We start from the raw sequence: 10,647 nt of genomic DNA, 5'->3' as shown, positions 1-10,647 counted from the left end.
CACAGCTGGACCTGTTCTGGGCTGTTTTCACAGAGGTAGCACTAGATGTTCCCCTCCCTAAGCTGCTACCATGGCAAAGTTAAGGGGTATTTGTGACATTCTGGGGATGGCCTTTTGATTCAGACAGGACATACACCTCTGAATAGAATCCAGGGGAGTCAACTTTCTGGCCATAAGGGCCTAAGTGTTACTATGGGAATTCAGCCATACATTCATTCATCTGCCCATCAATTGCTTCATCCATGTAAACACACATCCATCCATCCATCCATCCATCCATCCATCTATCCATCCATCCATCATTCCTCCCTTCCTTCCTTCTTTCCTTCCTTCCTTCCTTCCTTCCTTCCTTCCTTCCTTCCTTCCTTCCTTCGTTCCTTCCTTCCTTCCTTTATGGAGCATCTCCTTGTGTCTTCCTCTCATTAGGATGTAAAGATGGACAAGGCAGTCCCTGCCCTTGAGCTCAGAGCAGGCCCAGTAAAGAGTTCAACTGGATATGATGCAGACAGTAAGGGAGATGGGATAGAGTGAAGCTCCATGCTTACCTCCAGAGGGAAAGTTGAATGCCATAGGAATGCAAGGGGAGAAAGAACGGGGAAAGGAGCGGGGTTGAGAGGATTCACTCAGAAGAGGGTGCCAGCAGGAGGCTGTGAGGTTCAAGGACACTATTGACCTTGGGTGCCCTGGGCCTTCCTGCTTCACTTCCAGTGGCATCCACAGTGTAAGAGCTGGGCCATCACTGTGTCCCACTGAAAGGGACAGGGTTGAGGTGTGTATATGTGTCATAGTAGGTGGGAAGGCTTGGGGTCCCAAGGTAGCACTTCAGAATTTGGGCGTCTAGAAAATGGGGTTCACATTAAAGGTAACTCTGTGTTATTTGGTCCACTTACTTTTTAAAAAGTATATTTTCTTTTAAATAAACTTACTCATCTTTTTGACTTGGGAACATCTGTTTGCCCACAACACGTGTTCTTGGAAAGTTGGTGCATGGTAGCTATTCAGAAAGATTTGCTGACTGGGTGAGGCCAATTGTGTCATCCAAGGCTGAGGGACTCAGCATGGGAGTCCCATGGGAGTGAGTGGAAGTCCTGGACCTCAACAGAGCTTTGCCAGCAGCAGTAGGAATGGCAGAGTGTTCAGCTTTACTCTGACTCTGGTATCCATCTCTAAAAACGGGATGGTTGGAGCTATCTTCCAGCTGAAGCCAGAGATGCATGGCCTCCCTCAAGCTCATGCCAAAGGATATTATTCTTCTTGATGTTTCTATAAACATCTCGACAGCAGTGATTCCATGACTCAGATGCTTCAGCTGTAAAATAATCTCTGTCATATCTTTTCTTCCCTCTGCCCTGTGGGGACAGCATGGGGGCAGGATGAACTCATGGGCAGGGAAGCTCTCTGGGAAGTTCTGAGGCCCAGCCCATTGTGCTTAGCCCGGTAAGCAGCATGGAAGTAACAAGGAGTTAAATGGTTTGGCCAAAGGTAGCCTTTTCATTTTCCAGGGGGAGCCTTCTTCAGACACCTCAGGTTGGCCTTACTTTAAACAGGAGAGAGCAGTTTTTAGCAAGAAGCTCTGAGAAGAGGAAGGCCAAAGTGAGTCCTTCCTCAGGCCTCATGGGAAATTTGGCAAGCAGCATTAATAAAGGCATCTTTTTCTTCCTTTAATGTAAAATGCCAGGTTACGGTTGGCTAAAGCGCTGTAGCATTGGAGCCAGTTAATCTTCTGAGTCCATATTTTTTACTGGCACTGCGGGAGCTGTCTTGGGTTTTTGTTTCCAGCAGTGGGATATCAGGATTTGTATCCTATGGTATATTCAAAGAATAATTCTCCTTTTCTTTGATGTTCCTCAGACATCTTGAGACACTTAGGGGTGCACTCTCAGGGAATGTCGGAGGGCTGGGTTGCACAGCCCTCATTATGCTATTAAAATAGATCCAGTAAAGGAGGACTATGAATTTCTTGAGCAGAAAACTGCATTGCTAAGTGGAAGGCTGGTTCAGAAGTCACTCCTTGTCCTGACTTCTTGAACCAAGAACTATATTTTATTGCAGTTTGGGCAAGAGTAAGATGCTTTGCTGCTTCTATAATTGTTTCACAGTTAGAGGTTAACATGGATTGTTTTTCCTGACATTTGGAAAAATCATACTTAAAAAAATATAGTTTAGACTTAAAAAAAAAACATTGAAAACGCTGTCAGTTCATAACCTTGAAAAAAGTTTTAAAAACCTGCTGTTACTATGGGATAATTCTAACAGTCTCTTTGAAGTGGCATTTCTTCCCCTAGCCTTTGCTCACCAACCCGACAAAGCCCAGCCAAGGTGATTTTCCCAAGGGGCTATTTCCATCACATTGTTCTTCTGGTTACAAGACTTCAGTGGCTCCCTACTGCATCCAGAAGAAAGTACTGTACAATTAGCCAAATTGGTCAGACCCTCCCGATCAGGCCCCCCGGAGCCCTTTCAACCCTATCTACCAGGTGGGAAGCCTCCTTCCACCCCAGCGGGCTTCACATGGCCACTGTTAGATGTCCAGTGCTTCTCAGTCCCTTGTCTCTGTTTCTGTTCTCCCCATTTCCTGGCACTTCTCCTCTGTCACCCCCGGTCTCCACCCATCATCATTCAGTTCACCTCGTCCATCCAGAACAAGTCTCAGCTCCTTTAAAAAGCTTTCTCTGCTCATTGCAGCCCTGGGTGCTTCTCCTTTCTCCTTCTCAATTTTACATGCACATTATGGAGAGGCAACCAGTTTATTAGCAAAAGTCACACAGACCTGGGTTTAAAGCTCAGCTGTCGTATGCTGTGTGACTTCAGGCAACTTGCTTAACTCCTCTGATTTTCACTTTCCTCAGACAATGGCGATATATGAATACATACTTACCTCACAAGTTTGATATGCAGGGTCATGAGATAAATTAGGTGAGAACTCTCAGCCTAACATCTGGCATTTGGCAAGTGCACTGAGAATGTTAGTTTCTTTCCCACCTTATGACACTTCCTACATTCAAATAGTTATACTTATTGGAGGATTTGCCACAGCTCTGTCCATAGGACTCAAGCTCTTGGAGAATGGGGACTCATCTCCTATTACTCATAGTGCCTTGCATAGGACGAGATCAAGAGACACTGAGATGAACAATCAGGTGAAAGGGAAGTTGATGGGCTTTAAAAGAAGTGCCCAGGGGACTGTCACATCAGAGCCATGCCCATGAAGGCTAAGCCAGTGGCACTTAGGCGATTCATCAATAGGGCTGATTGAATTATTGTACCTCTCTTTTCTGGATGGCAGTAAGGGACCTCAGAGTCTCCACAGAACTGAGAGTAGGGAAGAGGTTTGCTCCAAAGCGTGCTCTATCCCTGGGGGCTCAGGAAACATGTTAATGGTGAGCTTAACTGGAAACCCCTTAACCAGCTGATCTAACAGCCTCTCCTCTATGACCTGACAAAACCATCAATGATCACTAGGGAATTTCAAGAGGGACTTTTAGTTATTTTGCAAATGAAGGAGCTAGGGAGGAGCATTCTCAGAGATAAGGGAGAATGAAAGTGGTGAGGAGGGCCCAGGGCCATTGCAGCACCTGGGGAGGTGGCTGGACTGTGGCACTAGGCGCAGACAGTGGGGAGAAGGGATGGTGGGTGGGGTGGCTCTGTGGACAAGCTGCAGAAGTGGCAGGCCCACGCTGGTGACATTCCCCTTGTTTGCCATGCCTTGATAATCTGGGTGGCCCCTCATCAGGGTGACACAACCTGCTGTAAGGTCCCATTCCAATACTACCTACTCCCTGAAGCCTTCCCAGAACCTTCATACAGAGGAACCTTGCCCTGTGTTGTCCTCTGACCTCTGAGCAACAACTGAACATGATGCCTTCCCTTATCTAACACCCTCACCAGAATGCAAGGCCTCAGAAGCAGTTGCTCTGTTGAAGGGGTTTTCCTCTTTCACCCTCTCACTTACTGACATTTATGGGGAGTTGACTGTGTCCCTGGTGCTATCGTAAATGTTTTATATGGATTTCCTCATTTCATCTTCATGAGAAATGCATGAGGTAGGCAGTATGCTTAGCCCTACCTAAACCCAAGAAAGCTGAGGCTGAGGGCCTGAGTGATTTGCCTCGGGTCATACAACTTATTTTGTAAAGGAGCTGGGATCTGAGCCCAGTCCAGCTCTGGAGTTTGCATTGCTAAGCATCATGCTACTCTGTCTCCCACCAGGCACGGAGGCAGTCCACAAAAGACAGTCATTGTACTGTCATTGTAATGATTTCAATACTGCTGCTGCTGATATGCTGCTAGCTTTGATTACAGTAACTACAACTACTGCCGCAACTAGTACTACAACAACTACCATAATTACTACAACTACTACAACAACCACTACTGCAACTACAACATCAACTACATTATCAACTACTGCTACCAAGTACCACTGTAACAACAACTACTAGCACAGCTACAGCTACTACTTCAGCTACTGTAACTACTACCACAGTAATCACCACAGCGATTACTACAACTGCTATGATTACCACCGCAACTACAACTATAGCAATGCCTCTCCTGCTGAAACATCTACAATTGCTACTACCACTACAATCACTGTAGCTATAACAACAACTATATGATGGCAACGACTACTAATACAAAACTACCACAACTACTACTACAACAATGCAACAACCACTACTACTACCACTTCTCCCGGATTGGGCTAGGACTCTTTATAGGGCAAGGATCAGAGAATGAATTCTCCTTTCTTTCTGCCAATATAGCATGGTTGCAAGTATGGGCTCTGGAGCCAGATTGCTTCAATTCAGAGCCTGGCTCTGTCAGTTATGAGCTGTGCCACACTGGACAGGCCACTTAATCTTTCTGTGCCTCAGTTTCCTCACTTGTAAATGGTGATGATAATGGTCTGCCTACATCAGAGGATTACAAGAGCTCCTATACATAAAGCACTTAGAACAATGACTGGCACCCAGCAGGAGCTCCATGTGAGAGCCATTTTCACTTCTCTTCCTTCTCCTGAGTCATAGTTTCTTGTTCTCAGCTGGCTTTCCTAAGTTCTTATTATGGGGAGAAGGCTCAAAAGTGGTTTGCTGATATGCTGGAGGGGCTGGTCTGGGGACCTGGGAACACAGAAGTGTGAGGACAGGAGCTCTTTCAGAAACCACCCCCAAGAGGCAAATGTGTGCTTCGGGCAGGCAGTCCTGAGCTTGTGCATATTGAAGGACCAAAAGTAATTTCTTAGAAACTCTGGGGTAAGAGTGCTAGACAGGTCCTTGGGGACTATCATGGAGGAGCCACTTTTTGAACTGGATGGGGAAGAGGGGCAGCACTGGAAGGAGTTGGAAGATGAGGATGAGAGAAGACAGTGAGGGTGAGGCCTGTGTCTGGACAGGGGCTGAATCAGAGGGAATACCCAGAGGTGTTTCCTAAAGCACTCAGAGCTGTGTCCTTCCACATGTGGATGGGAGGACAGGCCAGGCACCAATCTGGGCAAAAGGCCCCAGATGTAGGCTGCATGGTGAGGTGTGCAAGGATCATATTCTTCCTGGTGCCCTGGAGAGATGAGCTCACCCTCTCTGAACCCTTACCTCACAGTAGTTTGCCTCTCTTGTGGCATGGTGGGATCAAGGGCTTTGACATCAGGCTGATCTGTGTTTAAAATCATAGCTCCTTCCCCACAGTAGTGTGATCATGGGGTCTTAGGCAAGTGCTGGCTTTATTTGATCCTCAGTTTCATCTTTAAAATGAGGACCACAACACTTGTGCTATAGGGTTTTTCCTGAGGATTAAATCACATGATATTTGTAAAGGGTGTTGAACATAGCAGACAATAAATAGGGGTCTTTTTATCCTCCAACACTGGTTCTCAGGATGTGGTCCCCGTGCTGGCAGGATTGGCATCACATGGGAACTTGTTAGACATGCAAATACTTGGGCTCCGTCTACTGAATCTACTGATTTAGATTTTACTGAATCTCAAATCTGGGGTGAGGCCCAGCAATCTGTGCCCTCCCCGCTTTCCAGGTGCTTCTGCTGCAGGCCTAGGCTGAGAAGCGTGGACCTAGTGCAGATCAGGATTAAATGCAAGAACACTTGTGAGGCTGCTGAGCACAGAGCCTGGTACACAGTAGGTGCTGAATATCTGATAGCTCCCCTTCTTCCTCCTACCCAGGCAAGGCCAAGCCCGATGGCTTACCCTAAGAGGTTAATGCTACCGCAGACCTCCCGGAGGTGAAAGGGCCTTGTTCTCCCGGAGGATAGACACATTATGACGGCTTCATTTGATTAAAAGGGGATGTTGATCATTAGTTATGACCCAAATTTCTTCTCTCCCCAGCAATCACTCAAAGTGTTCCCAGATGCGCAGGGGGCTATTGGGTACCTGTGAATACAACATCCCTTTATAACGAGGACGCCCATACTAATGGAGACTTTCAGAGAAGGGTAGTGGGCCTCCGCAGCCCCTCAGGCCTGCCTTAGGTTTGATGGAGTGAATGATTGAAGGGAAACATATGCATTCCAGATTGGACCCAAAGAGCTGAGCTTTGAGCGGCGGCCTGCTTCCAGCGGCTGCCAAGGGGCGGTGGGGGAGCTCAGCAAGAATTTGTTGTTCCCGTGGGGCTAATTATTGACTTTTAGAGGCAAGTAGCTGCCCCAATTTTGGTTAGCAGAGTTGTTCGTTACTGCATAATTAATAGGAAGGGGGGACCCTGGTGCAGAGCAAGGCAAAGGGCCTGAATATTTTTGTTTAAGGAACATGGGGCAACAGTGGCCAAGGTCAAATATTCGGTTCTTTTAGACAGAGTGGGCAGCCACTTAGGCTGGCAGGGCTGGCTGGAAGGGGGAAGGCGGGCATGAAGGTGAAGGAATCAGAGTTCTGGCCTTAGGCAAATTTGAGTGGTTTAAAGGATCACTGCCCCAGTGGCCCCAAGGCGGGTTTAGTTTTAGAAAGAATGAGCTTTGCTCCCAAGCTCAGGAAGCAGATGAGGAATCTTCCATCTGCAGACGATGGAATGGGTCTCCCGAGACCTCTGATGATGTGATGATGTTTGAAGGAAATTCGCTGATGCTGGGATATGGACAGAGCTCTACCAGCCCCGAAAATGAGACAGGGTTCACTCAGCATTGAACAGAGACCTAAAGGTGGTCAGGGCATGGGCGTGGCTGAGGATTTAAGGCTTGGGTCTGGTTAACCTTCTTGTGAGGCGGAAGACAAGAGACAGGATGCAGGGAACCTAACCTGTCTCTCAAGCCTGTGGTTACAGCAGCTTTTTCTTGCTAGGAGCTGATGTGTCCTAAGCCTTTTGTGCTGCTTTAGGTCTAAGCTAAAACACCTTCAGGTCCCTGAACTATGGGGTGAGGGCCTGAGTGCCTGACAGACCTCAGTGGAGGGAGCCCCTGGGGAAGGGTGGGCAGGTGCAGAAGGAGGGGAGGAGAGCCAACGGGCAGGGCAAGGGAAACGTGAACCTCCTGAGTGGCCGTGACCTGAGTTTCTCTATGCTGTGGGGCTGGGAAAGTTCCAGAATGGGAGTTCGAATATGAAGCCCTGGCTGGAAAGTCAGGAGCCCTGGGTTCTACCCGGTTCTGTCACTCACTGGCTGTGTGCTCTGAAGAAGTCCTGCCCTACTGGGCCCTACATCTTCATCTGCAGAACTGAGAGGAATGAATGTTCTTAATGACCCTTTTGAAAAATCTCTTGGCCTATGACACTGCAGTAGAGAAAAATAGAATTGGTATGATGTTTCTCTTCGACTATCATGCTTTCCTCTCCCTTGGTGTCACAGGTGGGAGATACAGTGGAATGAAAGACACAGGGGAATGCTGTAGGCAGAAAGCAAGGCTGTGACCCTGTGGAACGTGGCTGCTGGGTTATGGCTTCCTGGGAACAAGACTCCAAAGTGAGGGGGGAAGCATCTTAAAAACAGATGCAATCAACTTTGGGGCAAACCTCTAAACAGGCTTTACTTCATTCATGCAGAGACTCTTCTTCATCTTTCATAATCTGTCCGAATTACAGGTAAATCAAGTTCATCATGGAGGAAGGTGGGCATTGGAGGTGGTGGAGAAAGGAATGACCACGGAGGTTGAAAACAACATACATTTATTATCTTACAGTTCTGGAGGTCAGCAGTGCAAAATGGGGCTTATGGGGCTAAAATAAAGGTGTTGTCAGGGCTGCATTCCTTCTGGAGGTTCTAGGAGGGGATCCATTTCCTTGCCCTTTCCAGCATCTAGAGGCTGGACAGATTACTTGGCTCATGACCCTCTCCTGCATCTTCAAAGTCAGCAATGGCTGGACAAGTCTTTCTCATGTCACATCACTCTGGCACTGACAGTTCTGCCTCCCTCTTCCACATTTAAGGGCCCTTGTGATTACAATTAGGCACACCTAGACAATCCAGAATGCTATCTCTATTTTAAGGTCAGTTAGTTAGAAACTTTAATCCCATGTGCAATCTTAGTTTCTCTTTGCCATATAATGTCACATAGGCACAGGTTCCAGGCATTATGACACGGACACCTTTGGGAAGCCCTCATTCTGCCTACTACAGGTGTTAGTTTACAAAGAGCAGTACCAACCCCAGGTGCCATAAGCCCCAATGACAGTGGCCTCATTCCCAAAGATTGGCTCCTGGGCAGCCTTTTGGGATACCTGGTTTCAGAGTTGGGGGCATTCTTCTCTCCCTGACTCGGGCCAGGTGTCTTTTCCCAGGATGTCCCTTCCCCATAGGAAGGGCTGTCCCCACACTGTTGAACACCCCAGGGCCTTTGTGGGCATTCAGGGATATTGGCTCTGGGAAAGCAAATTTCCCCAGGCCGAAGGAGGAGATTTTTCATTCAGCCATTGCTTTTTGGAGGGGTGCAGAATGAGGCTGCCCAAATTGCAGGTGAATCAAGTTAATCCATTCCACAAAGAGAGGCTCTTATAATACAGCCTCTACTGCACGAAGGCTTAACTCCCTTTAAAGTGTCAACAACTCTTAGACAAGGAGGTATGATGTGCTTATCAGAGGCCTTTTCTCAGAAAAATTTATTGTCCGAGAGATGCCATAAAAGATTTCTCAGACTCTGGATCCCTCTTGCCTCCTAAGCCCCTTTTCTAGCTCTTTCAATAAGAAATTACCTTTCAGGTTTTGTCTACTTTTTATTTCGTGTGGCTTTTTTTTTTAATTTTTTTATTTTGGTGCTTCATTGTATAACAAGAACTTCGCATCAATTGGAGCGTCAAAAGATTACACAGTGATTTGTCATTCTCTTGCCTAATAAAAGCGTCAGATATTCCTAAAAGGTTGGTGGTTGCTTTCTCTGGATCAACCCGGAGGCCCTGAGCTGCCTGAGTGTGGGAGGAAGGTTGCCCATTAGCTACTGCTTGGGAGGGGCTTGTTACCTAGCTTCCTCACTAAGGGCTTGGGCTCTAGCTCCTAGTCAGTGGCCAGAGGGACAAGGACATGGATTGTGGAGTCTTTGGCAACAATGTAAGGCTGAAACACTTTTACGCTGCTTTTAGATGGTGCTTTTGGGACGTGAACAAAAGTTGTCTGAAAAGACAATTTGGATGAAAGGGACTTTATTTCAGTGACGTTTACAAACTGAGGAGACGCAGCCTCCCATCAAAATGAAGGTGTGTTCCAGAGAACAAAGGGAAGGCTCAGGTTTTATAGCAAAATTTCTCACCAGGTTCCCAATCAGGTCCATTTATGCAAATGAAGAATTGACAGTTCTGCTTGGTTGGTGTAGCTGAATTCTGATTGGTCAATACAGCTGAGCCCTCACTGGCCAAGGCAGGTGAGCTCTGATTGGTTGGTTCAGGTGTTTTTTCTTTTTCTTTTTTTAATTTTTATTTTCAGTAGTGAAGCTTGCAAGGTGAGTTTTGAAAGTCCCAAAGTGAAACAGAGGTGTGAATTTTCCAGGGACTTGGAGTACGTGTGTGACCCCTAGACAGCAAACGACCACTTGGCTGTATTTTAAATCTAGGCCCTGTGGAATCCACCGTGAGGGACTGACCCTTTCACATTCACATTTGTTCCCGGGGAAACTGTTTAGTTTCCCCATAGGCCTCCTGTCTGTGAGAGGAAGCCCATTTGTATACAGCTAGATTAATTTCAGAATTTCTTGTAACATAAATAAAAAATAGAGCATATAATATTGTAGTGGGGAAGAATATTTCTTTGTAGGAGAAGAAATGAAGTAGTCAGGTTTTGAGAGATGGTAGGGTTCTTGCCCTGATCCTGAGGGACTTTGAATTTTAATCCTCAGGTCAGTTTGCTGGGCTGTGTTGTGTTTGTGACGTAGTGTTTGGAGCAAGGATGTCTCGCTGCCCTGAGAACCCCTAGCTTTCTCCTGAGTATTCCAGGGACAAACTGATACAGGAGGGGAACTTCTCTCTAACGATTCAGTTTTGCTCCTGCTAAAACTCAAATTGGGCCTGTTTTTAAATCAGAAGTTCTGTTCTATTGGCCAGAAGCCTTAGTAGCAATATAATGTGAGCCACATATGTCATTTAAAATTTTTCTAGTAGCCATATTAAAAAGTAAAAAGAAACAGGTGAAATTAATTTTAGTAATAGATTTTGTTTAACCCAAATATGTCCAAAATATTATGTGGACATGCAATCCATACAAAAATATTAATGAGATATTTTAC

At 46.5% G+C, this 10,647-nt stretch overlaps 1 annotated feature.

Moving 5' to 3' along the window:
* Positions 3,643-4,159: an enhancer, noted in NCBI's record as "H3K4me1 hESC enhancer chr2:19930957-19931473 (GRCh37/hg19 assembly coordinates)". NCBI's record gives its function as "activates a minimal SCP1, AML or CMV promoter by ChIP-STARR-seq in primed H9 embryonic stem cells {active_cell/tissue: H9 hESC(primed)}" and the evidence as "EXISTENCE:reporter gene assay evidence [ECO:0000049][PMID:30033119]".

The sequence above is a fragment of the Homo sapiens genome, chromosome 2, assembly GCF_000001405.40.
Source record: "Homo sapiens chromosome 2, GRCh38.p14 Primary Assembly".
Classification (NCBI taxonomy): Eukaryota; Metazoa; Chordata; class Mammalia; order Primates; family Hominidae; genus Homo; species Homo sapiens.
This window is presented reverse-complemented; position numbering and strand designations above follow the sequence as displayed.